A 27695-nucleotide genomic window follows, 5' to 3' on the forward strand; every position below is an offset into this window, starting at 1 on the left:
GAGAATTGCTGGAACCCAGGAGGTGGAGGCTGCAGTGAGCCAAGATAGTGCCACTGCACTCCAGCCTGGGTGACAGAGGGAGACCTTGTCTAAAAAAAAAAAAAAAAAAAAGGAAAATTGGGAAGAGGTAATTCTAGAAGGGAAGAATATATAGAGAAGTATGTGTCATGTTAGTTTTCTCTTGGCGCCATAACAAATTAACCACAGCTTAATAGCTTAAAACAACACAAATTTATTACGTTACACTTCTGGAGGTACAGGGCTCATTGGGCCAAAATCAGGGTGTTGACAGGCTGTGTTCTCTATAGAGGCTGCAGAGGAGAATCGATTTCCTGCTCACTCGGGTAAGACTGAGTTCCCTGATTTCTTGCTGGCCGTGAGGTGAGGGTCATTCCAGCTTCTAGAGGCCCATGCTGCATTCCTTGGCTTGGGACCTCCTTCCTCCATCTTCAAAACCAAAGCCGGGAACTATCAGTCAAGTTCCTCTCACACTTCAAATCTGTCCTCTTCCTCCCATCTCATCTCTCTGACCCAGCCTGGAAAAGTTCTCCCCTTTTAAGGATTTGTGTGATTAGATTGGGCCCACCTAGATTATCCAGGATAGGATAATCTTCCCCATTTTAAGTCAGTAACCTTAATCACATCTGCAAAATCTCTTTTGCCATGTAAGGTAACGTATTCATAGGTGCCAGGGAATAGGACGTGGACATCCTCAGGTAGCCATTAAGCTGCCTACCAGAATCTACCCTCTGATCCCTCAAATATGTCGCAGCTTAACATCAATAACTATATTAAATATAGCCAGGTGTGGTGACCTGTAATCCCAGCACTTTGGGAGGCCGGGGTGGGTGGATCGATTGAGCTCAGGAGTTCAAAACCAGCCTGGCCAACATGGTGAAAACCCGTCTCTACCAAAAATACAAAAAATTAGGCCAGGCACAGTGGCTCATGCCTGTAATCCTAACACTTTGGGAGGCCAAGGCACGTGGATCACTTGAGGCCAGGAGTTCGAGACCAGCCTGGCCAACATGGTGAAACATCATCTCCACTAAAAATACAAAAAGTAGCCGGGCGTGGTGGCACACACCTGTAATCCCAGATGCTCGAGAGGCTGAGGCAGGAGAACCACTTGAACCCAGGAGGGGGAGGTTGCAGTGAGCCAAGATCATGCCACTGCACTCCCACCTGGGGGATAGAGCAAGACTCTGTCTTCAAAATAAATAAATAAAAGGACTATATTAAACATAAATACACTAAACATGCTAATAAAAAGACAGAGATTGTCAGACTGGATTTAAAACAAACCAAAAACAAGACCTGGTTGTATATTATCCACAAAAGATGACTCTTAACTGCAAAAACATAAATAGGTTGAAAGTAAAAGAATAGAAAAGGATACACTGTGTAAAAAGAAAGAATAAGAAACCTGAGGTGGCCAACAAGCATACAAAAAGATAATCAACATCACTAATCATAAAAGAAATGCAAGTCAAAATCACAATGAGATATCACTGCATACCCACAAGAAGCGCCATCATCAAAAGAACAGAAAATAACAAGTGTTGGCAAGGGTGTGGAAAAATTGGAACCCTTGTGCACTGCTGGTGGGAATGTAAAATGCTGCAGCCATTACGGAAAACAGTATAGAGGTTTCTCCAAAAATTGAAAATAGAATTACCACATGACCCAGCAAACCCCACTTCTGGGTATGTATCCAAAAAACGTCAAAGCAGGATCTCAAAGTGATATTTACATATCCATTTGTCCATTGCAGCATTATTCAAAATATGCAAGAGGTGGAAGCAACCCAAATGTCCATCAACAGATCAATGGCTAAAGAAAATGTGGTACACATACAGTGGAATGTTATGTAGCCTTTAAAAAGTAAAAAATCCAGCCGGGCACGGTGACTCATGCCTGTAATCCCAGCACTTTGGGAGGCCAAGGCAGGTGGATGGCCTGAGGTCAGGAGTTTGAGAGCAGCCTGGTCAACACGGCGAAACCTCATCTCCACAAAAAATACAAAAAAAAAATTAGCTGGGCGCGGTGGCGTGCACCTGTAGTCCCAGCAACTCGGGAGGCTGAGGCAGGAGAATCGCAACTCCACTCCAGCATGGGTGATAGAGTGAGACTCTGTCTCAAAAAAAAAAAAAAATAGTAGAAAATCCTGTTGTCACTACACTATGGACGAAACTTGAGAATATTATGCTAAGTGAAATAAGCCAGTCACTAAAGGACAAATACTGTATGATTCCACTCATTTGAAGTATCTAAAGTGGTCAAAAATCATAGAAACAGAAAGTAGAAAGGTGGTTGCCAAAGGCTGGGGGGAGGAGAGGAGGAATTAGTGTTTAACAGGTGTTGAGTTTCATTTTTGCAAGATGAAAAAGTATTAGAGAACTGTTGGACAACAATGTGAATAAACTTAACACTACTGAACTATACAGCTAAAAATGGTTAGTATAATAAATTTAATGTTATGTATTTTTAAAATACAATTTTTTATTCTTAATCTTTGTGAGTAGTGTTATGTGTTTTTAATAATAAAAGAAATCTGAAGTGACTATATGTTTATGCAACTAAAATCAGAGTTTAAAAATAACAAGCAAAATTAGCAGAACTAAAGAGAGAAATAAACAAATCCATACTCGTAATGAAAGATTTTGATACCCTGCTCTTGAAAAGTGATAGAATAACTAGACCAAAAAAAAAAACCCAGTAAATATATACAATATCTTTTAAAAGCACTATAGATCAGGGATTGTTGAATTATGGTATATGAGACAAATCTCAAAAATAAAATTTTAGGCTGGGCGTGGTGGCTCACACCTGTAATCTCAGCACTTTGGGAGGCCAAGGCAGGTGGATCATGAGGTCAGGAGTTTGAGACCAGCCTGAACAACATGGTGAAATGCTGTCTCTACTAAAAATACAAAAATTAGCTGGGTGTGGTGGCACGCACCTGTAATCCCAGCTACTCAGGAGGCTGAGGCAGGAGAATTGCTTGAACCCAGGAGGCGGAGGTTGCAGTGAGCCAAGATCGTGTCACTGCACTCCAGCCTGGGCAAGACAGCAAGACTCCGTCTCAAAAAAAAAATTAGAAAACAGCCACCCCTATTCATTTATGTATTGTCTATGGTTGTTTATAGCAGCTTTTGCAGAATTGAGATGCAAAAGAGATCATATGGCTCACAAAGCTTGAACTGTCTATTATCTGGCCCTTCATGGGAAGAGTTTGCTAAACTCTACTATAGGCCATCTAAACATAATTGACATTTATAGAACACTATACCCAATGATAGCAGAATATACATTCTTTCCAATTGCACATGGTACGTTCACTAAAAGAGACCAAAATTGGCCATAAAATATCTCTCAGTATACTTCAAAAGATTGAAATCTTACAGTGTATGTTCTTTAACCATAAAGGAATTAAAATAGAGATCAATAAATATATCTAGAAAAGCCACAGATATTTAGAAATTAAACTACACACTTCTAAGTAATATATGGGTCAAATAAGATATCTGGGTTAGAAAATATTTCAAACTGAATGATAATAAAAAGTAGCAGACTAAAGTTTAGGTGCTGCAACTATACCAGTGTTTAGAGGTCAATGTGCAGCTTTAAAAATTATATTAGAAAGGGAGAGAGTCTTAAAATCAATGAGCCAAATTCCACTTTAAGAGCCCAGGAAAAGCAGAGCAAACTAAACACAAAGTAAGTAGAAGGAAAGAAAGAATAAAGATCCATGTAGAAATTGATAAAATTGAAAATAGAAAAACAATAGAGAAAATTAACAAAGCAAAAAGCAAGTCTTTTAAAAGATTAATAAAATTGAAGTTTCACACAAGACTAATCAAGAAGAAAAGATACAAAACAAAATTTACCAATAACAGGAATTAGGTATATCATGTTATTATTTGTTTCCTGTCTGTTCCTTTTGCTTTTTATCCCTAATTTTCCCTTTCCAGCATTGTTTTTAGTTAAGTGAGCATTTTTTAGTATTTCATTTTCATTTTCATTTTATTTTATTATTTATAAATTATACATATATAATTTATTTAATTTTATTTAATTTCATTTTAATTTTCTACTGTGATTTTGACTATATCTCTTGGTATAGGTTTTTAAATGCCTTCTCTAGGGATTACAGTATACAGAACAGTGTCACAATCTATCTGGAATCAATATTTTACCACTCCAACTGGAAGGTGGAAATCTTACCACTATGTTAACTCATTCACCCTCCCCTTTTATGTTATGGTATCTACATATTACATCTATATGCATTAAAATCTTATAAGGTAATGCTATAATTTGTGCTTTCAACTGTCAAATATACTTTAAACATCTCAGGAGAAGAATAGTTATTATATTACCAGAATTTTATCATCTGTTACTCTTCCTTCATTCCTGATATTCCAAGTTTCTTTCTGGTATCATTTCCTTTCTATCTGAAAAACTTCCTTTATTAATTGAACAGGTTTACTGGCAACTAACTGCACATGACACATTCACCAAAAATAATTTTCTTTTATCTGAGAATGTCTCCATGTCATCTTCATTCACAAAATATATTTTCACTGGACATAGAATTCTGCATTGACAGTTCTTTTCTTTTAGCACTTTAAAAATGTGTCACTTCTTTCTTGCCTCCATGGTTTCTGATAACAAACACAGTCATTTAAATCTTCATCCCCCTTACAGGTAATGCATAGGCTTCCTCGGGCTGCCTTCAAAATTGTTCTTTGTCTGTAGTTTCTAGTAATTGGATTATGATGTTTCTGGGCACAAATTTCTTTTGTTTATCCTTTTGGGGCTCGCTAAGGTTCTTGAATCTGTAGGTTTATGTCTTTCACCAAACTCTGGAAATTATTATTATTATATTATTATTTTGAGATGGAGTCTTGCTCTGTTGCCCAGGCTGGAGTGCACTGGTGCAATCTTGGCTCACTGCAAACTCCACCTCCTAGGTTCAAGCAATTCTGCGTCACCCTCCCAAGTAGCTGGGACTACAGGCATGCACTACCACACCAGGATAATTTTGTATTTTTAGTAGAGATGGGGTTTCACCATTTTGGCCAGGCTTGTCTTGAACTCCTGAACTCAGGTGACCACTCACCTTGGCCTCCCAAAATGCTGGGATTACAGGCATGAACCACTGCACCCAGCCTCTCCAAATATTTTTTGAGAACAAACAATCTTTCTCCTCCATTTCTGTTACTCCGATGGCATGAATATTCACCTTTTGATATTTTCGTACAGGTCCCTAAAAGTATGTTCATTGTTTTTCACTTTATTCTCTTTGTTGTTCAGACTGGATGATTTCTATTGATCCTGTCTCAAGTTTGCCAACTCCTCAGTCATCTCTATTCCACTCTTAAGTCCATCCAACAAGTTTTTTACTTCAGTTATTTCATTTTTCTGGTCTGAAATGTCCTTTTATTTCTCTTTTATATCTTCTGTTTCTTTGCTGATGCTTTCTATCTTTCCACTCATGTCAAGAATGTGCATGACTGCCTCTTGGAACATTTGTATAATACCTGCTTTAAGTCTTTGTCAGATAATTCCAACATCTGTAGCCCATTATATTAACGTAATAAAGGGAAAAAATAATATATCAATTGATACAGAAAAGGCATTGGACAAAATTCAATACCCATTAATGATGAAAAAATGTTTTTCACTCTCAGCAAACTAGGAAAAAAAGACAACTTGTTTAATTTAATTGCAGGCACCTACAAAGAAAAAACTACAACTGATAATTCCTACTGATTGCTAAACATTTTCCCCTAATATTGGAAAGAAGGCAAAGTTCTCTATTCTTACAGCTTCTACTGTACTGGACATCCTGGATAGTTCAATAAGGAAAAAGAAAAAGAAAGAAAGAGAAAGAAAGAAAGAAAGAAAGAAAGAAAGAAAGAAAGAAAGAAAGAAAGAAAGAAAAAAAAAAAAGAAAGAAGCAGGAAGGCAGGAAGGCAGGAAAAGAACAAAGGAAGGGAGGGAGGGAAAAAGAAAAAGGAAGGAAGGGAGGGAGGGAAGAAAGAAAGAAAGAGAGAAAGAAAGAAAGAAAGAAAGAAAGAAAGAAAGAAAGAAAGAAGGAAAGAAAAAAAAAGAAAGAAGCAGGAAGGCAGGAAGGCAGGAAAAGAACAAAGGAAGGGAGGGAGGGAAAAAGAAAAAGGAAGGAAGGGAGGGAGGGAAGAAAGAAAGAAAGAGAAAGAAAGAAAGAAAGAAAGAAAGAAAGAAAGAAAGAAAGAAAGAAAGAAAAAAAGAGAAAGAAAGAGAGAAAGGAGGGAGGGAAAAAGAAAAAAAAGAAAGAGAGAAAGAAAGAACGGAAGAAAGAGAGAGAGGGAGGGAGGAAGAGAGAGAGAGAAAGAGAGAGAGAAAGGAAGGAAGGAAGGAGTTGAAAAAGAAGCAATAAATACATTCCTATTTGAAAATGGTATGATCATTGGCATAGAAAATCCTAAAGAATCAACAACAAAAACCTTCTAGATCAAATACAGCAGTTAAACTAGGTTCCTCCTACCAACTAATACATCAGTTTAACTAACTCAATGTACAAAAATCAATAGTATGTCTATATACTAGTAGAAAACACTGGAAAAGTGTTGACTTCTAAGACATATCTACAAAAAAAGAAAGAAAAAACTGGAAAAATGGAATTTAAAAAATAATCTCATTTATCATACCATCAAAAACATAAGAAAAAGTTTGAATACATTCAATAAAAGATATGCAAGCCCTGTACATTGAAAATAACAAAATATCATTGAGATAAGTTAAACAAAACCTAAATAAATGGAAATATATCGTTTTCATAGATTGAAAGATTCAATATTGTTAAGATGCCTCCCCATACTGATCTACAGTTTCAACTCAATGTCGATAGGTTTTTCTTAGAAATTGACAAGATGATTCTAAAATACATATGGATGTGCAAAAGATCTAGAATATCTAAAACAATCTTGAAAAAGTAGAATAAAGTCAGCTGGGAACTTATATTACCTGACTTCAAGGTTTACCACGAAGTTATAGTAATTAAGACATTGTAGTGGCTCACGCCTGTAATCCCGGCACTTTGGGAGACCGAGGCGGGCAGATCACGCGGTTAGGAGATCGAGACCACGGTGAAACCCCATCTCTACTAAAAATACAAAAAATTAGCCGGGCGCAGTGGCAGGCACCTGTAGTCCCAGCTACTTGGGAGACTGAGGCAGGAGAATGGCGTGAACCTGGGAGGCAGAGCTTGCAGTGAGCAGAGATCGCACCACTGCACTCCAGCCTGGGCGACAGAGTGAGACTCTGTCTCAAAAAAAAAAAAAAAAAGACATTGTGGTGTATACATAAGGATAGGCAAATAGATCAAGACAACAGAATAGGATATCCAGAAATAAATTTGCAGTTAAATGGTCAGTTGATTATTGACAAAGGTGCTAGAGAAATTTAACAGGGAAAAGTAGGTTTTTAAATAATGGTTCTGGGCTCCCATAACTCATACCATACAAAAATTAATTTGAGATGGCTCATAAATCTAAATATAAACACTTAAACACTCAAGCTTTTAGAAGAAAACCTAGGAGAATATTTTGTGATCTGGGGATAGACAAGTAATAACCATAAGAGAAAAAAGTAATAAGTTAGATTTCATCAAAACAAAAACTTCTCCTCATCAAAAGACACCATTAAGAAAATGGATAGTCAAACTACAGACTTTTATGAAGAATATAAAATGAACACTTACAATTAGATCATAAAAGCAACACAATTTTTTAAAAATGTACAAAAGAATGAAGACTTCACAGAGAAGTCAAACAAATGGCCAATAAACACATGAAAATTGCCCAATATCATTGGTTATCAGGTGAATGAGTATTGAAATCACAATGACATGTTACTCCATACTTACTAAAATGGTTAAAATTTAAGAATGACAATTTAGCTGTGCGTGGTGGTGCATGCCTACAGTCCCAGCTACTCAGGAGGCTGAAGTGGGAGGATAGCTTGAGCCTGGGAGGCAGAGGTTGCAGTGAGCCAAGATCACCCCACTGCACTCCAGCCTGCATGACTGAGTGAGACCCTGTCTCAAAAAACAAAAAACAAAAAAAAGTTAAGACAGACAACACCAAATGTTGGGAAGGATTTGGAGCAACTGGAACTCTTATACATTCTTGATGGGAATGCAAAATGGTTCAAATTCTGTGAAAAACCATTTAGCCATTTCTAATGAAGATAAACATGCTACTACCCTCTGACTAAGAAATTCCATTCCTAGTTACTTAACCAAGAAAAAATAGGTTACAAAAAGACTTGTATAAGAATGTTTATCACAGCTTTATTTATAATAGCCAAAAACTGGAAACAGTCCAATGTCCATCAACAGGTTAATGAATAAACAGCATGTGGTATGTTTACAAAATGGAATACTACTCAGCAATAAAAAGGAACAAACTACTGATGCACACAAGATGGATGAAACTCACGGTAAAAGATGTACATACTATTTTCTTCCATTAGTGTAAAGTTCTAGAAAGTTGTAACTAATCTATGTGAAAGAGTATGTACTATATTACTCCACTTTTGAAGTTCTAGAAAGATAAAACTAATATATGTTAAGAGATAAAGAGAGAGGGGGCAGTGGTGGCTTCTTCAAGGGATGTTCAAAAGGAAAGAATATTAGCGAAACTTCCAAGGTGAAAGAAATCTTGATAGAATGTGGTTTATCTTCTGGGGTGATGGAAATATTCTATATCTTTACAGGGGTGTTTTCATTTTTTAATTTGTACGGTTAAGATATGTACATTTCAATATAGGTACATTTTACCTAAAACTTTCTAAAATAATTATAATAATTGAATGGGGAGTAGGGAGAGGTACAGATGAAACCAATGCCAAGATGCTGATAGTTATTGAAGTTGGCAGTTGGATATATGAGGGTTTATCATAACATTGTGTTTGTTTTGTATATGTTTGAAATTTTCCAGAATAAAGTTTTTAAAATAAAACATGAATAAATATAACAAATTCACTGCCAACAATTGTCAATTCATACCAGTCTAGTTTTATTTTCATCCCCTCAGCTTTCTTTCCTTCCAAAATGATTTTGCAGCACATCCCAGAAACTTATTTCAACTGTAAACATTCAGTGTACATCTTTAAAATACAAGTTTCAAAAAATAACCGTAGGCTGGGCATGGTGGCTCATGCCTATAATCCCAGCACTTTGGGAGGCTAAGACCAGAGGATTGCTTATGGCCAGGCCTTTGAGACCAGCCAATGCAACATAGCGAGACCCTGTCTCTACACAAAAATTTAAAAATTAGCCAGGTGTGGCAGCATTCCTGTGGTCCAAGCTACTTGGGAGGCTGAGGCAGGGGGATTGCTTGAACCCAGAAATTGCAGGCTGCAGTGAATTATGATTATTCTGCTGGATTCCAGCCTGGGAAACAGAGCAAGACAATGTCTCTAAAAAATAAGTAAATACACAAATAAAATAAAATAAAATAAAAAATAGCCAAAACACCATGATAACTCTAAAAAGTTAAAAATGGTTCCTTAGTATTATCAACTACCCATCAGTCTCATAAATAGCATAAATGATGGTTTTTATAGTTTGTCTAAATCAGAATCCAAGTAAGGTCCACACATTGCAAATGGGTGATAGATGTTTTATGTGTTTTAGGGCTATTGTTGTTGTTTGAAACAGGGTCTTGCTCTGTCATCCAGGCTGAAGCACAGTGGTGCAATCACAGCTGAGTACAGCCTCAACTTCCCTGGCTCAAGCAATCTTCCCACTTCAGCCTCCCAAGTAGCTGGGACTACAGGTGCATGCCACCACACCTGGCTAATTTTTTTTTTTTTTTTTTTTTTGTAGACATGGGGTCTCAATATATTGCTGAAACTGGTCTCACACTCCTGGACTCAAGCGATCTTCCTGCCTCAGCCTCCCAAAGTGCTAAGATTACAAGCATGAGCCACCATGCCTGGGTGGTCATAGATCTTTTAAGCCCTTTTTATTGTTTCTCTCTCTCTCTTTGGCTTTACAATTTTTTAGGGATGTTTATTTATTTCTTAAATTGACAGATAAAATTATATGTATTTATCATTCACATGATATATATATATATACATATATACACACGTTGAAGTATATATACATTGTAACATTGAAGAATGACTAAATCTAGCTAATTAACATATGCATCACCTCACATAGTTAACATTTTGTGGTGAGAGTACTTATCCATTCTTGTATATTTTTTTCAAGAATAAGCTTTGCAATTTATTTGTTGAAGAAAAGCAGTTATTTTTATGTGGAGTTTCACACAGTCTGGATTTTCCTAAACTGTATCCCTTTGGTGTGGTTTAACATAGGGGTCCCCAATCCCCAGGCCACTGACCAGGACCAGTCAGTGCCCTGTTAGGAAAGGGGCTGCAAAGCAGGAGGTGAGCAGCGGGCGAGTATTATCACCTGAGCTCTGCCTCCTGTCAGATCAGCATGGCATTAGATTCTTGTAAAACCACGAACCCTATTGTGAACTGCACATGCAAGGGATCTAGGTTGCGTGCTGCTTATGAGAATCTAATGCCTGATGATCTGAGATGGAACAATTTCATCCTGAAACCATCCCCTCCCACCCACCCCCTTGCCCCCCATCTGTGGAAAAACTGTCTTCCATAAAACCAGTCCCTGGTGCCAAAAATGTTGGGGACCACTGATTTAACAGGTTCCTCTGTCCTCTGCATTTTTTGTCATTTGGTAGTTAGATTCAGAGGCTTGATCAGGTTTAGGTTTGATTTTAATGGCAAGACTACTTCATGGTTGGTAGTGTGTTCTTCCATCAGGAGGCACATGCATGCCCGCTTGCCTCTTCTTTTGAGATAGGTTAGTATGACAGTCAGTTATTAACAGTAGAGTCTAAAGGGCAGCAGGGGAAAAGAAAGAGAAAGGGAGGAGACAAAGAAACCAAAATAAACAAAAAGTTACATAGAAAGGCAGAGACATGTAAATGATGACTTAGAGACCAGATGGGGATTTGTACAGAGATTACCAGGAGCACAGAGATGGAGAGGCACAGGGAGATACAAGCAGAAACTGATGGACGGATGGCTGATATTGCCAGGGCCAAGTAAGATAGAGGATGAGATCTATTCCATCTGCTGACACAGGTGCAGGGCAAGAAGCAAAACTGCAGTACATGGATGGAGACACAGGAGGGAGAAACAGAGGCACCAAGGCAACAGGGGCTTAAAAAGCAAAAATCCTCCCCTTCAAGGAACCCCTTGCTGCTATAGGTAGCCATGTGACTCAGATTTGGGGAAAGAATCAGAGGCTTCCCTTCCTAAAAAAAAAAAAAAGAAAAAAGGAAAAAGAGCAAAGGCTTCTGGACTTCCTTATTTCCACCTGGAAGAAAGATGCCATGCCTGGAGGTTCAGCAGCCATCTTGCAACCACAAGGATGGGACCACATGCTAAGGATGTTGGAGCAGGAAGACTGAAGGAGCCTATGTCTCTGGTGACCTCCCTCAGCCCAGGTCTCGATTGCCCCCTCCACAGACTTCTCGGAATTCTTTCTTTCCTTCCTTCCTTTCTCTTTCTTTCTTTTCTTTTTCTCCTTTCTTTCTCTCTCTCTTTCTCTCTTCTTTATCTCTCTCTCTTTATCTCTCTCTCTCTCTTCTCTCCTTCTTTCTTTTTTTTTTTTTTAAATGGAGTTTTGCTTTCGTTGCCCGGGCTGGAGTGCAATGGCCTGATCTTGGCTCACCGCAACCTCCGCCTCCCAAGTTCAAGCGATTCTCCTGCCTCAGCCTTACTGAGTAGCTTGGATTATAGGCATGTGCCACCATGCCCAGCTAATTTTGAATTTTTAGTAGAGATGGGGTTTCTCCATGTTGGTCAGGCTGGTCTCAAACTCCTGACCTCAGCTGATCCACCTGCCTCGGCCTCCCAAAGTGCTGGGATTACAGGCGTGAACCACCGTGCCTGGCCACTTCTCGGATCTCTGATTGGAGCCCCTTCTGGTAGTTTGCTGACCCTTCCTAAATGACATACCTGTGATGGACTCTAGTTTTTCTGTGAAGCAGTGGGTGAGATATAGGATGATAAGGGCATGGGGAAGAACCGAAATGGCTTTAGGGGAATGGGTGATATGACCAAGGACATTTGAAATTGGCAACCCTTTATTTGGCTGTGCCTTTTTCCAACAGCATTCTAGTTTGTTTCTACAACTCATTCAGTTTGTTTACCCTAAAAACTCTATACAGGGGCCGGGCACGGTGGCTCACGCCTGTAATCCCAGCCCTTTGGGAGGCCGAGGTGGGCAGATCACGAGGTCAGGAGATCGAGACCATCCTGGCTAACACGGTGAAACCCCAGTCTCTCCTAAAAATACAAAAAAAAAAAAAATTGGCCGGCCGTGGTGGCGGGTGCCTGTAGTCCCAGCTACTTGGGAGGCTGTAGCAGGAGAATGGCGTGAACCCGGGAGGCAGAGCTGGCAGTGAGCCGAGATCACGCCACTGCACTCCAGCCTGGGTGACAGTGCGAGACTCCATCTCAAAAAACAAAACAAAACAAAACAAAACAAAAAACAAAACAAACAAAAAAAACCTCTATACATATTTGCTTCAAAAAAACAAAAACAAAAAACAAAAAAAACAAAAAAAAAACCAGACAGACAGTGGGGCAGAAGGTGGGTGGAAGAGTAGATGGAGGTACAGACAAAACAAGACTGGCCATTTATTTATTACTTATGGAGGGTGGGTGATGGATTCATTCCACTGTTTTTACTACTTTTGTACCTCTGAAATTTTCCATGATGAAAAGATATTTTTAAGGAGCAAAATGAATGAAATTGAAAACTAAACTCCTAACTACTACAGGCAGTGCATGATTCATAAGTATACATCTCACAAAGAAAAACCTTTCAGAAGCCAAAACAGGCAGCCAACAGTAGAGCAAGTCTACAAGGCTGGTGGCTGTAGAGCAAGTGTCTGGGCACTGATCCCCACTTCTGAGTCTGTACTGGCACAGGGGTGGCCTTCCTCATCCCTGGCTCTGCTCAGGACTCCAAGTGCTTCCTCTGCCTCTCACCCAAAATCCACTATACTCAGCTGGACAATGCCTGCTCTAGGGCCTGGATTCGGGCCTGACCCACAGAGCGGCAGTGTTGTCTTTTGACTGACTTTGGCCAACTCAAGTTGGTGAAAGTTATGTGGAACTGAAAGAGTTCCTAACATGCACACCAGACAAAGATGAATTTAAGTCAGTGTGATGACAAAATTCATCCACATAGAGCAAAAGCTGTGATGACTTTCAGATGCTGGAGTAGACACTCAAGAAAGTACTGATGTTTCTCCAAATCATAAAATCATTGATGAATAGTTCATTTCTACATCTCCCCAGGCTTTTCTTTCTTCCCCTTCATCATCAATATTTGTGACAGGAATTCCCAACTGTTTCAGAATTACTGACATGCTCATGCTTATGTGTTTAACGCTCCCTCCTCCTCCTCCTCCTCCTTCTTCTTTGTTTTCTTCTTCCCTTCTTTTTTCTCCTTCTCCTTCTTCTTCTTCTTCTTCCTCTTCCTCCTCCTCCTCCTCTTCCTCTTCTTCTTTTTTTTTTTTGAGATGGAGTCTTGCTCTGTTGCCCAGACTGGAGTGCAGTGGCATGATCTCGGCTCACTGCAACCTCCACCTCCCAGGTTCAAGTGATTCTCTGCCTCAGCCTCCTGAGTAGCTGAGACTACAGGTGCACCCCATCAAGTCCAGCTAATTTTTGTATTTTTTGTAGAGACAGGCTTTCTCCATGTTGGCCAGGCTGGTCTCAAACTCCTGGCTTCAAGTGATCCACCTGCCTTGGCCTCCCAAAGTGCTAGGATTACAGGCATGCACCACTGCGCCCGGCCAACAATCCATTCTTCTAAAGAGACTCTCAACTGGGAGCCAGGCATGGTGCACTCTCCTGTAGTCCCACCTACTAGGGAGTATCACTTGAGCCCAGCAGTTTGAGACCAGCCTGGGCAACATAGTGAGACTCTGTCTCTGAAGGAAATAAATGAAAATAAACAGACCCTCTGGTATAAGTTATTTTTAAATCAAAATTAGCTTGTCAAATATGCATCAATTTGTCTTAATGATTCTAAGAACTTCTTCTTACCTCTTGAGAGAAGTGGAGTGGTGATGGCTGCTGGTGCCGAGCAGCATGTGAGATGGGCACATGGGGAGCAGCACTGGATCCTGGACCACCGGGCCTTCCCTGGGTTGTAGGGGCCTCATGTCGATAGGCAAGCACCATGCCTTTTGTACTCTCGCCTCCACGTTCCATGCACATATTGCGTGAGTGCACAGATGATACTTAAAATGATCTAGAATTATATTTAGTTATAGTCCTATCCCCTTCCTTTCCAGATGACTAAACTGAGGCACAGCCAAGCTGAGTAAAGTTTGTTCAAGGTCATGAAGCTGAATAGTAAGAAAACCAGAATCCAGGTGCACTAGCAGATCTTTGAAGTCATCCTGCCTTCCTGTTGAACCAAAAAAATAATAATTCCTGGGTAGGGAATAGATAAAGCACAGGGTTTCTAGAGAAAGGAGAAGTGGTGCTAAAAAGAAATTACAGGAAAGCTTGATATTTTAGGCAGAGGAGTTTACATGGACGCCTAGTGCCAGTTTTAGAACAGGGAAATAATGCAGAGAAAATTAATGTGTTGGGGAAACCGGGACTCAGAAACACATCCTTCCCTTGAGGGCTTGTGAAGTGCTGGAAAGTCTATAGCAGGTAAACGAGGCAAGGAGAGGACCAGTAGGAAGAGCATGGGGTTCTGAGCCAGAGGGAGCTGGATCAGGTCCCACACCACCTGCATGGCTTTGGCCTAGTGACTCCATCTCTCTGAGCCTCAGTCTCTGTGCATGTGAAGTGGGGATGACAACAGTGCCTGCCTCCCAGGGCCTCTCTCTCATTGTAAGAACTCATGCATTCAGCAAATCCTTATAGAGTCCAGGCCCTGGGCTAGGAATCACATATGGAACAGCAAACAGGACAGACACAGTCCAGCTGCCAGGGGTTCATTCTGGAGGGGAACAGGTAAACAATGAGTAAATAACGTAATCTCAGATATAAGTTTACTGTGACAACAATACAAGCCAGTAAGGACAAAGAATGACTTGTTGGGTGGGGTCAGGGAGGAATTATTTATTGGAGTAGTCAACGAAGGCCTCGCCTTGGAATGATGAGGAAACGCAGCCATGGGAAGGACCCTCATTCAAAGCAAAGAGCAGCAAGAGCACTGGGGTGGGTCTGAGCAGGGCATGTTTGGGAGACAGAAGACCAATGTGGCAAGAGCAGTGAGACGGTGGCCAGGTGAGACAAAGTGAGTCTGAGGTGGGGACAGCAACCTGCCCAGACAGGGCTCTGGAGAGCATGGTGAGGCACTGGTGTTCCAAGCGCAATAAGGAGCCCTGAGAGGCTCCGAGCAGGAACATTCCATGTTCAAAAAGTAATTAACATTTTATTATTTTTTATAGAGACAGGGTCTCACTCTATTGCCCAGGCTGGAGTGCAGTGGAGCAATCTCGGTTCACTGCAACCTCTGTGTTTCAGGATCAAGTGATCCTCCCAACTCAGCCTCTTGAATAGCTGGGACTTACATGTGCGGGCCACCACGACCAACGAACTTTTGTATTTTTTGTAGAGACGGGGTCTCCCTATGTTGCTCAAGCTGGTGTCGAACTCCTGGGCTCAAGTGATCCACCCACCTTGCCCTCCCAAAGTGCTGGGCTTACAGTTGTGAGTGACCACACCTGGCCAATGACTGACATTTTAAGAAGGCCACACTGTCTGCCATGTGGAAAATGTGTAACTGCTCAACGGGTTCTCCTTGCCTGTGCCTAAACACAGCCAATTTATCAAGACAGGGGAATTGTAATAGAGAAAGTGTTTAATTCACACAGAGCTGGCTGGAGTTTTATTATTACTCAAGTCAGTATCCCCCAAAATGCAAGAATTGGGATTTTTAAGGATAATTTGGTGGGTAGGCGGTTAGGAAGTGGGGAAAGCTGTTTGGTTGGGTCAAAGATGAAATCACAGGGGCCTAATGGCCAGGCACAGTAGCTCACAACTGTAATCCCAGCACTTTGGGAGGTCAAGGGGGGCAGATCATTTAAGATCAGGAGTTCGAGACCAGCCTGACCAACATAGCAAAACCCCGTCTCTACCAAAAATTTTAAAAAATTAGCCGGGCATGGTGGTGCATGCCTGTAGTCCCAACTACTCGGGAGGCTGAGGCAGGAGAATCACTTGAACCTGGGAGGCGGAGGTTGCAGTGAGCAGAGATCACGCCACTGCACTCTAGCCTGGACAACAGAGCTTAAAAAAAAAAAAATCATAGGGGGTTAAAGTGGGTTTTTCTTGCTGTCTTCTGTTCCAGTGGAGGATCACAGAACTGGTTGAGCCAGATTACGAAGCACTGATCTTAGATTTTACAACAGTGATGTTATTATCCCCAGGAGCAATTTGAGGAGGATCAGAATCTTGCAGCCTCCAGCTGCATGGCTCCTAAACCATAATTTCTAATCTTGTAGCTAATTTGTTAGTCCTACAAAGGCAGCCTGGTCCCCAGGCAAGAACGGGTTTTGTTTTGGGAAAGAGCTGATATCATCTTTATTTCAAAGTCAAACTATAAAGGGCTGTTACAAAGTTAAACTATAAACTAAGTTCCTCCCAAAATTAGTTCAGCCAATTCCTGGGAATGAACAAGGACAGCTTAGAGGTTAGAAGCAAGATGGAGTTGGTTAGGTCAGATCTCTTTCACGCTAATCATTTCACTGTTAATTTTTGCAAAGGCAGTTTCAATTGGACTGGGAGAGATAAAAGAGGAAGCAGGAAACGAATGCAGAGGGCCATAGCAGGGGTGCAGGCAAGAGAAGAGGGTGGCTGTGGTGGTGCAGAGAAGCGGGCAGTCATGATTTACTTCTGATGAAGAGCCAGCAGGACCTGAGGACAGACCAGCTGCAAGCCGTGGGAAGGAAGAAGCAGCACTGTAACATGTCCATAATGGCCCCAACGCCCAAGCTGGAAGGTTGTGGGTTTACAGGAATGAGGGCAAGCAACACCTGGCCCGCCCAGGGCGGAAAACCGCTTAAAGGAATTCTTAAGACACAAACAAAAGCATGAGCGATCTGTGTCTTAAGGGCATGTTCCTGCTGCAATTAATTCAGCCCATCCCTTCCTTTCCCATAGGGGACTTTTAGTTAATTTAATATCTATAGAAACAATGCTAATGACTGGTTTGCTGTTAATAAATATGTGGGTAAATCTCTGTTCAGGGCTCTCAGCTCTGAAGGCTGTGAGACCCCTGATTTCCCACTTCACACCTCTATATTTCTGTGCGTGTGTCTTTAATTCCTCTAGCGCCACTGGGGTCTCAGCACATGCACACATATTGGATTTCATTTTCACATTTTCCCTCTTTCTGCTTTATTAGTGACCTAGAAACAGATACAACTATGTAAAAAACAAAACAAAACAGAACTTCTATATGGTGTAGTGGCATTTCTCCTATGCCATGGTGGTGTTGTGAGGATTAAATAAATTAATACACGTTAAGATGCTTAGAAAAGTGCCTGGCACATATACAGTGCTCATTGCATATTATTTTTATTTCAATTCAAATGGAAAAAGACTAGTTTACCTAGCATGGGGCTTTTGTATAACTTACTATCCATTTTGAAAAAATGTCAGATGCTCTTACATTTAAGTGAAAATACATTTCATATCAATTAAATATGTGCATGGAAGAAATCATACTAGAAAAGTATGAGAAAAACATCTGATTAGCCAGGTGCAGTGGCTCACACCTATAATCCCAGCACTTTGGGAGGCCAAGGCAGGTGGATCATGTGGTCAGGAGATAGAGACCATCCCAGCCAACATGATGAAACCCTGTCTCTACTAAAAATACAAAAATTAGCTAGGCATGGTGGTGCATGCCTGTTATCCCAGCTACTCGGGAGGCTGAGGCAGGAGAATCGCTTGAACCAGGGAGTCGGAGGTTGCAGGGAACCAAGATCGCACCACTGCACTCCAGCCTGGCAACAGAGTGAGACTCTGTCTCAAACAAACAAACAAAAAAATCTAATTGAATAGTTAGTTGCCTAACTTTGACAAAGCAGGACTTTTTAGACCACACAGAAAACCCAGATCCAATAATGAAAAGAGTGACTTGTTTGATCACATACAAAATTTTGTAATGTTAAAAAGTTATAAATTATGCCAAAGATAAGGAAGAAGAAAATATTGCATCACATATGACAAGCAGAAAGTGAATTTCACCAAAATAAAAGATCTTCTAAAAACTGATAATCCAACAAGAGATTTCTCTTCATAAGAGAAAATGCAAACCATCAAGGGATAAATGAAAAGAGGATTTGCCTTTCACCTATCTAATTTGACCCAGCCTTCTTAGTCATTGATGCTGGGAATATGAATTGCTACAACCTTTTCTGGATGATCTGGCATATAAAAAATGTGCATATTATTCTACCCAGTAATTTATCTTTTAGGAATTCAGACAAAAGAAATAAAACCACCAGTACTGTATTAACTAGCAAAGCACGAATTTTTTTCCAAATGAACATCAATAGGAAAATAAAATATGGTTATTTATTAAATAAATTAAATTATGTTTCATTACATTTTGTAATATGTTCAGCTATTTAAAAGCATGTACTAACTTGAAAAGATGTCTGTGGCCTGCTGTTAAGGAAAAAAGACAAGTTATACAGTAAGGAACTAACATTTTACTTTTGGTTTTGGTTTTGTGTGTGTGTTTGGTTTGTTTCTTTTTGTTGTGGTCGTGGTAAGTGGTGGGGGGTAGCATATTTATACACGTACTTAAGTGTATAAGGACATAGGTAGAGGAGACACCCAATTATTCATGTTGATCGCCTCAGAGAAGTGGGATGGAAAGGTGGGAAGAGCAGGGAAAATAACTTTTCTTCGGAAAAAGTTAAAATGCCTATAGAGATGTAAATATATACTTTCTCTTTACAAATCTTTATATAATTTAGCCCCCCGCCTCCCGCCTTTTTTTTTTTTTTTTTTTTTTTTAGACGGAGTCTCGCTCTGTCGCCCAGGCTGGAGTGCAGTGGCTGTGATCTCGGTTCACTGCAACCTCCGCCTCCTGGGTTCAAGCGATTCCTGTGCCTCAGCCTCCCAAGTAGCTGGAACTACAGGCGCATGCCGCCACACCTGGCTAAATTTTTGTATTTTAGTAGAGACAGGGTTTCACCGTGTTGCCCAGGCTGGTCGCCGACTCCTGAGATCAGGCAATCCACCCGCTTTGCCCTCCCCAAGTGCTGGAATTACAGGCGTGAGCCACTGCGCCTAGCCAATTTAGCTCCCTTTTAAAATTAAAAATGGGCTGGGCATAGTGTCTCATACCTGTGATCCTAACACTATGGGAGGCTGAGGTGGGAGGATCACTTGAGCCCAGGAGTTCAAGACCAGCCTGGGCAATATAGTGAGACGCCCATCTCTACCAAAATAATAATAATAATAACAACAACAACAACAACAACAACAATACCTACGCATGGTAGTGTGCCTGGTTCCCAGCTACTAGGGAGGCTGAGGCAAGAGAACCCTTTAACCCAGCCCAGGAATTCAAGAATGCAGTGAACTGTGATCACACGACTGCACTCCAGCCTGAGCAACAGAGTGAGATCCCATCTCAGATAAATAAATAAAGCAGGCTAAATAAGGGTCCACTATCCAGAACATACACATTAAAAGAACCTTACAACTTATCAACAAAAAGACAACTCCAATAAAAAATGAGCAAAGAACTTAAACAGCCAAAGATACATAAATTGCCAACAAGCACATGAAAAGCTGCTCAAAAGCATCAGTAGTCAGGGAAATGTTAATCAAAACCACAATGAGATGCTACATCATACTCACTAGGAAGGCTAGATTTAAAAAAAAAAGAAAAAGAAAAGCAAATGTTGGTGAGGATACGGAGAAACTGGAACCCTCATTAAGCACAGAATTACTACATAACCCAGCAGATCTACTCTTAGGTATTATACCCCGAAGAACAGAAAAAAGGCACTCAAACAAATGCATGTACACACATGTTCACAGCGGCATTCATTCATAACAGCCAAAAAGTAGAAACAATTCAAACGTTCAACTGATGAATGGATAAACCATTGTGATACCGCCATACAATGGAATATTATTCAGCCATAACAACGAATGAAGTACTGATACGTGCTGCAAGGTGGATGAACCTGATACATTATGCTAGGTGAAGGAAGCCAGACACAAAAGGTCGTGTGTATGATTCCATTTACATGAAATGCCCAGAATAGGTAAATCCATAGAGACAGAAAGCGGACTGGTGGTTGCCAAGGCCTGGGAGGGAGAGGAGGATTGGCCGTAAGTGCTTCATGGAGTTGGCTGTCCTTCGGCGAAATATTTTGGAAATAGCAGAATGGTGCTTGCACAACATTGTAAATTTACTAAACGCCACTGAATTGTTCACCTTAAAATGGTCAATATTACGTTATGTGAATTTCACTTTAATTACAAAAAGAGAAACGCTAGCGTTTACGCAGGCGGAGGGCAGGCTGGACTGGGGACGCTCCTCCCGGCCGCCTCGTTGCTGGCAGCGCTTCCGCCCGCCGGCGCACCAGTCAGTACCGCGCCCGGCGAATGTGGAGGGCGAAGCTGCGGCAGGGCAATCACAAAAGGGCTGTCAGAGAGGAGGCGAGGCGGGAGGAAGATGGAGAGGCGGGTGGGAGCCTCACCTTTGGACTCTATCGCCACAGCCCGGTCTAGCCGCTACGCCCGAGCTCAAGTCTGACTCGAAACTCCGCTGGGTGCCTGAGAGGACCCGGCAGGCCAAGGGGTGGAACTGAGGGGGCGGGGACGCGGCGGGCGGGTGGGGCCGCCTCCCGGCTGGGCACGCCTCCAAGCCAGACTGGACGCGAAGGAAACCGGAACCTGTCTGCCTACGGTGCCTGTTTCCGGAAGCAGCTTGAGTCCGGACACCAACGACGGGGACGCTGGGAAGCCGACTTCCGGCGCCCTATTTTCTCACCTGGTTCCCGCGGCGAGCCAGCGGCAGCGGCGGCGGCGATGAGACAGAAGCACTACCTTGAGGCTGCAGCGCGGGGACTGCACGACAGCTGCCCGGGCCAAGCCCGCTACCTCCTGTAAGAGGACTGGAGGGGAAGCGGGAGGCGAGCGGGTAGGTGTTCCTTTGCTCCTCACAAGTCTCTTTCTCTTTTACAGCTGGGCCTACACTTCGTCGCACGGTAAGAAGAACGCCTGTCTCTTGTGCTTTGGGCTCTTGTCGCCCCGCTTTCCTCTGTTCCGCACAACGCTCAAATAAGGCCGATGGACTCACTTCCCTCCATAAAAACAACAACAACAAAGCCCGCATGTGTCTCGGTTTCGTGAAAAATCCAAATTCTTTAATGTGCCTTGTCTTGCTTTGTTAGCGGCATTTGACACATTGATCAGTCTTGAAATAGTTTCCTCCCTTGGCTTCTAGGTCATTACGTAGTTCACCTCTTCATTTATTACTTCTCGATTTGCTTTGCTGGTTCCTCCTAATCTCCCCAAGCTTTAAGTATTGTCGTGGCCCAGTACTCAGCCCTTGGACCTCTTTTCTAGGCACACTCGCTTCCTTGGTGACAGTTTTTCATCCAATCTCATGGCTTTTAAATACCATATACTGAGGACTTACAAATGTATATACTCAGCGCAGACCTCTCCTCTGAATTCTAGACTCATATATCCGAATGTCTTCTTGACAAATTCTTTTCAATGTCTAGTAATTCAAACTTAGCTAATATGTCCAAAACCTGAGCTTTAACCCCCAACAAGATCCTCCAGTTTTTCTCATTTCAGTAAATAATTCCATTCTTCCCTTACAGTTATTGAGCCCAAAAACCTTGGAGCTATTCTTGACTCCCTAACTCTCTCTCCTCCCCCAGGCCAGTATGCGAGCAAATCCTGTTGGCTTTAAAATGTAGCCAAAATCAGCCAGGAGCGGTGGCTCACCCCTGTAATCCCAGCACTTTGAGATGCAGAGGCGGGCGGATCATTTGAGGCCAGGAGTTCGAGACCAACCTGGCCAACATGGCGAAACGCTGTCTCTACTAAAAATACAAAAAAATTACCTGGCATGGTGGTGCACGCCTGTAATCCCAGCTACTCGAGAGGGTGAGGCATGAGAATCTCTTGAACCCGGGAGGTGGAGGTTGCAGTGAGCGGAGATGGCGCCATTGCACTCCACTCCTCACCACATCCATTGCTACTACCCTGCTCCAGGCCATCACCAGCTCTCTCCTGGATTAATAAAAGTGAAAGTCCTTTAAAAGGATTGTAAGGCCCTGTGTCATAGACCTGCATACCTCTCTGACGTACTCTTTCCTTCACGCAACTCCAGTCACACTAGGTCTCCTTGCTTTTCTGTTTCAGGGCCTTTGCAGGTACTCTTCACTCTGCCTGGGATTCTTGCCTCACATATCTGCTTTCATGTGAATCCTCCATTTCCCTCTGGTCTCTATAATATCACTCAATGAAGCTTTCCCTAGCCACCTATTTAAAATTACAGTAACTCCATCAATACTTCTATTCCCCCCTCCTATCTTACTTTTTTATTCCCAGCACTTAACATTTGACGTTGTTATATTTATTGTATGCCTCGGTGAATTGTCCTTTGTTCACTGCTGTGTCTCCAGCACTTAGAACAGTGCCTGGCATTCTTAATTGTCACTTAGTGAATATGAATGAGTTTCACATTTGGCAGAGCTAAGTTTAAGTGTGGTCTTTAGCTTTATAAGTGCTGTTGCATCCCTGGCACTTAGCACAGTGCTCAACAGTAGATACTATTCATTGTGCTAATTATTTAAAAAAAGAAACAAAATCGCAGTGCAATTTGTTATTTTGTGGTAAATGCATTGGTAAAATTGGTGAAACATAACAGCCTTTTAAAACTTAGTAGCAAGTAATGAGAAGTGGCTAGATTTAGGATATATTTTAAAGCCTACAGGATTTGCTAGCATAGGTTGGAGATTTGCCTATCTGTTGCTGAAAGGAGTGAATGGATGGAATTGTAGTATTTTGCAAGGTAAATTACTGCCAATTTATCTTTTTGTAAATTTTCATATTTTGAGTTTACTTAATGTGTATCTGCTTATATTAAATTTCAATATACTTTTTATAAATGTTGACAGTTTGAGGTAACAAAATATTCTGATTTGCTGAATTGTGAGTTTCATTTGTATAATTTTAGATGATAAGAGCACTTTTGAAGAAACGTGTCCATACTGTTTCCAGCTGTTGGTTCTGGATAACTCTCGAGTGCGTCTCAAACCCAAAGCCAGGTTGACACCCAAAATACAGAAACTTCTTAATCGAGAAGCGAGAAACTATACACTCAGTTTTAAAGAAGCAAAAATGGTGAAAAAGTTCAAAGACTCCAAAAGTGTATTGGTAAGATTTCAGTTCCAGTATGTATGAGTAAACTAGAATTTTCTTTTCTTTCACTTAAAATCAGTTTAAGAATCAGCCTCAGTATAACTCAGAGATTTATAGTAGTATATTTGGATTATCAAAATATATACATAAACACTTCTCTAATGATTAGTGTTTCATTATAAGGACAGCTTACTTTTATTTTTCATGATTACCTAAACCAAACATGGTGAGCTCTCAATTGTTTTGAGATCCCATTGTTGAGCATTATTTTTCACAAATGTGCGGATTTCTTGAACTGACCGTTATGGCTCCACCTAAATTGCAGTTACCACTACATTATTTTTTCAGTTAATGCTCCTTTGCTTCAGATAGTACTATGTTATGTATGTAGGTATCATGTCACTTCTTCAGCTGTCCTCCCACTCCATGTCAGAGTGGATTTACAGGTATGCCCAACAAAGGTGAATGCATCTTTTGTTCTTTCAACATTTTATTGAGGGTCTATCATATGCCAAGCAACATTTAATATTGGGGATATAAGATGGAATAAAACAACCAAAATCAGATTACGTACGGTTTACTATATGGAGGCCAGTAGCAAATACACTTTATATCCCTGCATATTTTATGTTAACATTTATCAACTGTTCAAGTGCCTGCTTATTGTCTATCACTGTGCCGGGCACTGGACATTATGACAGCTTATGTCTGGCCTAAGACTATAATTAGCAATTACTTGGATTGAAAATTGTCATATTTAGGAGTTTACCAGTGTTGGTCAGGTAGGTGCATTTTGCTTTGTCATAAAATTGAATGGTTAAAGGGAAAGAAAGAAGAGATAGAATATTGAAGTGAGTATGGAATTCGGTTTCTTAGTTCTTGGAGAATTGTATTTTTCAAAAATCATTACTGCCACATATTTGGAAAATGTTCTTAAATGGGAAGACAGCAAATGCTGCCTCACTATCTTGCAGTGTTTTGCCCTCATGAAGCTTACATTCTAATGTATTTTAATCAGAAGTCAGCTAGAAAGGTGCTAGAGGTATTTGTTTTTCTGATTTTTTTTTTTTTTTTTTTTTTTTTTTTTGAGACGGAGTCTCCCTCTGTCGCCCAGGCTGGAGTGTAGTGGCGTGATCTCGGTTCACTGCAAGCCCCACCTCCTGGGTTCACGCCATTCTCCTGCCTCAGCCTCCTGAGTAGCTGGGACTACAGGTGCCCACCACCACGCCCGGCTGATTTATTTTAACCTGTATACAGCCTCCTTCCAAAAAGTGTAAAGCAACATAGACCTTTGATAGATGCAGATCTTCCATTGGCATTTTCATCTGCTCATGAACATCAAACTACTTCTCACTTAAACTAGTTTGTATTAATTTGCCGAGGCATGGGCTGAGTCCTGTGCACAGTCAATTAGATATGTAGAAGAAAGGAAATTAGCTAGAAAATGGACCATTTCTTGAGAAATGAATCTTGAAAAGAAAGACAACCTCTAGAGCTAATGATGGGAGTGGAGAGGTGTGAGAGTATAACAACTCATTTGGTTGTATAAGTTACTTTAGACCTATGTTTACAAAATTGCTAAGGATTTGAAGGGGCTACTTAAATTTCCAGTGATACTGTGCCATGTTGTTTTTGGGAAGAGGCTTGAAGTTCATCTGCAAAAAAATATTAAATGCTTACTGCTGTTACAAAGAACATTCCTCCAGATGTTAAAGAGTATTATCTCCCATCTCTTCCCAAATTCCCACCAAACATGGTTTTATATTTAAAAAGTAGAGTTCATTATCTTTGAAAACCTATTTTAAATTAAATACAAATGTTTAGCCATTCATTTTTATTGAACATTTTCTCATTTAAAATTTGTCGGCTGGGCACAGTGACTCAAGCCTGTAATCCCAGCATTTTGGGAGGCCGAGGCGGGTGGATCGCCTGAGGTCAGGAGTTCAAGACCAGGCTGGCCAACATGGCGAAACCCTGCCTACTAAAAATACAGAATTAGCCAGGCACAGTGGAAGGCGCCTGGTCTCAGCTACATGGGAGGCTGAGGCAGGAGGATCACTTGAACCCAGGAGGCAGAGGTTGCAGTGAGCTGAGATCACGCCACTGCACTCCAGCCTGGGGACAGAGCAAGACTCCGTCTCAAAAAAAAAAAAATGTCTTGTCTGATTCTCGCTACTAGATTGCAAGTTCCCCAAGGACAGCCTCTATTTTACTTACCCCTATAGTATCTGGTGTAGTCCCTGACATTTAAGAATTCAATGAACCTGTGGTTTATGGGGTTAAATTATAAGATAAATGACGGGACTGATATTTCTTATTTTTATGGTAGTTGATCACTTGTAAAACATGCAACAGAACAGTGAAACATCATGGTAAAAGTAGAAGCTTTGTGTCAACATTGAAGAGCAATCCTGCCACTCCTACAAGTAAACTCAGCCTGAAGACACCAGAGAGAAGGACTGCAAACCCAAATCATGACATGTCTGGCTCGAAAGGCAAGAGCCCAGCATCGGTTTTCAGGTATCTTAATCCATGAAGTTTTTGAATTGCCAGTGTTAAGTGTTTTCTTCTAATTTCCTGTGTTTAATATATACTCCCTAAATATGCCATGCATTTCAGGACTTGGCCATTTTTCCTCCATACCCTTTTCTAATGTCACATACTCCCATATCTTCAATGCTCATTTCAATGCATTTGACTTCTAGGTATGTTACTCTACTTCCAACATCTCCTGTGCCTATTTCCAGCTGCCTGCTAAATATAACCACTTCAGTCCCCTACATGTTCAAAACTTAGTTCATCATTGCCCCACAGCTAACCACTCAAACCTGTCCATCCTCCTGAGTTCCTTATTCTGTGAATGAACACACCTTTCTGGACATTTTGACCTAAAATGACAGGTACATTCAAAAATCCCTATTCCCTTGGTCCTTGTCACCGATTTCTATATATCCTACTTCCCTGTTTTCATCTTTTTGCTCCTTTTTCTCCATAGTGCTGCTATATTCTGGTTCAGGTCCTTATGCACCATTTGTCAGGACTACTGCAGTGATTTTCCTCATGGGTCTCCCTGCTTCTAGGATCAAACTCTTTTAGTGTGATCATCTTTCTGGAGCATAGCTCTGATTAGAAGCATCACTGTGTAGCATATGGATAAATGCTCTAGCATGGCTTTCCAGCCCTATCTGGCACCAGTCTGTCTGCCTGTCTTTCTTTGCCTTAAATCATCCTATGTGCCAACAAAACTGAACCATTCACGGCCGGGCATGGTGGCTCACACCTGTAATCCCAGCACTTTGGGAGGCTGAGGTGGGCGGCTCAGGAGTTCAAGACCAGCCTGTGCAACACGGTGAAATCCCATCTCTACTAAAATACAAAAGATTAGCCAGGCGTAGCGGCGTGCGCCTGTAGTCCCAGCTATTTGGGAGGCTGAGGCGGGAGAACTGCTTGAACCTGGGAGGCAGAGGTTGCAGTGAGCTGAGATGGCGCCACTGCACTCCAGCCTGGGCGACAGAGCGAGACTCCGTCTCCAAAAAAAAAAATACTGAACCATTCATAATACACTTTCTTGCCCTAAACATTTGTTCTTGCCCTTTTCTCTGTCAGAAATTCCTGAGGAAATCTAACTGAACAGGGATTTGTCAAATGATAATACACCGAGGATAGCCAGTGCATGTATATGGCCATAATACAAAAGAGTAGAAAATGATTGTCATTTGTTGGTATAACTAAGTGTGGTTTTGTTTCTTTTCAGAACACCTACATCTGGACAGTCAGTATCTACTTGCTCCTCAAAGAACACCAGCAAAACAAAGAAACACTTCTCTCAACTAAAAATGTTACTTAGTCAGAATGAATCCCAAAAGATTCCAAAGGTGGACTTCAGAAATTTCTTATCTTCTCTGAAGGGTGGACTTTTAAAATAAGAAATGCCTGATGTCAATTCTGAAACTAAAGTTGGTAAAACAACTTTTTAAACTCTTATTCATTTTTTGAATACATGGAAACTAGATCTGAATGCAAACTTTTCTTGGCATCCTTCAGTGTTTATGGGGAAAATACCTCATTAGTGTGAATACCTGAAACCTGCCTACCTCATAGGACAGCTGTGAGGATCAAAAAATATATGAAAGTTCCTTGTAGATACATATCTATAGATATATATGTGTATGTATATAAAGATAGATATATACATTGAGTAGTGG

At 41.1% G+C, this 27695-nt stretch overlaps 1 protein-coding gene and 1 long non-coding RNA gene across 7 annotated transcripts, besides 4 other annotated features; one reads left to right on the top strand and one right to left on the bottom strand.

Moving 5' to 3' along the window:
- Positions 1–212: 212 nt before the first annotated feature.
- On the bottom strand, positions 213–20861 carry LOC105372066 (uncharacterized). 2 transcript variants are annotated; one of them, NR_188032.1, is made up of 4 exons: positions 20808–20861; positions 14155–14521; positions 1088–1209; positions 213–447 (listed from the first exon to the last, which is right to left on the bottom strand). It is a non-coding gene; the product is annotated as an uncharacterized LOC105372066 (long non-coding RNA). The 2 variants fall into 2 exon arrangements; NR_188031.1 differs by lacking the exon at positions 1088–1209.
- Positions 20576–20870: a silencer, noted in NCBI's record as "tiled region #2053; K562 Repressive non-DNase unmatched - State 1:Tss". NCBI's record gives its function as "represses a minimal TATA promoter and a strong SV40 promoter by Sharpr-MPRA in K562 cells {active_cell/tissue: K562}" and the evidence as "EXISTENCE:reporter gene assay evidence [ECO:0000049][PMID:27701403]".
- Positions 20810–20959: a silencer, noted in NCBI's record as "silent region_9401". NCBI's record gives its function as "represses an Ori minimal core promoter by ATAC-STARR-seq in GM12878 lymphoblastoid cells {active_cell/tissue: GM12878}" and the evidence as "EXISTENCE:reporter gene assay evidence [ECO:0000049][PMID:35858748]".
- Positions 20810–21771: a biological region, named in NCBI's record as "H3K27ac-H3K4me1 hESC enhancer GRCh37_chr18:33552432-33553324".
- Positions 20879–21771: an enhancer, noted in NCBI's record as "H3K27ac-H3K4me1 hESC enhancer chr18:33552432-33553324 (GRCh37/hg19 assembly coordinates)". NCBI's record gives its function as "activates a minimal SCP1, AML or CMV promoter by ChIP-STARR-seq in naive H9 embryonic stem cells {active_cell/tissue: H9 hESC(naive)}" and the evidence as "EXISTENCE:reporter gene assay evidence [ECO:0000049][PMID:30033119]".
- RMP24 (ribonuclease MRP subunit p24) lies at positions 21089–27688 on the top strand. 5 transcript variants are annotated; one of them, XM_005258364.6, is made up of 5 exons: positions 21089–21215; positions 21277–21317; positions 23306–23505; positions 25820–26010; positions 27245–27688. In XM_005258364.6, exons 1-5 carry the CDS (start codon positions 21139–21141, stop codon positions 27414–27416), a joined length of 681 nt encoding a protein of 226 aa, XP_005258421.1. In that variant the 5' UTR covers positions 21089–21138; the 3' UTR covers positions 27417–27688. The 5 variants fall into 5 exon arrangements, with proteins under 5 accessions (XP_005258421.1, NP_113634.3, NP_001188404.1 ...); NM_031446.5 differs by having other exon boundaries at positions 21295–21317; NM_001201475.2 differs by having other exon boundaries at positions 21089–21317.
- The last annotated feature ends 7 nt before the right edge of the window (positions 27689–27695 follow it).

This window comes from Homo sapiens, chromosome 18 (genome assembly GCF_000001405.40).
Source record: "Homo sapiens chromosome 18, GRCh38.p14 Primary Assembly".
Lineage (NCBI taxonomy): Eukaryota > Metazoa > Chordata > Mammalia > Primates > Hominidae > Homo > Homo sapiens.

Coding starts and splice junctions, on each gene's coding strand:
- RMP24 (XM_005258364.6), top strand. CDS start 21,139: ATGAGACAGAAGCACTACCTTGAGGCTGCAGCGCGGGGACTGCACGAC. Junction 21,318..23,305: donor GGCCTACACTTCGTCGCACG/GTAAGAAGAACG, acceptor GTATAATTTTAG/ATGATAAGAGCACTTTTGAA. Junction 26,011..27,244: donor AGCCCAGCATCGGTTTTCAG/GTATCTTAATCC, acceptor GTTTCTTTTCAG/AACACCTACATCTGGACAGT.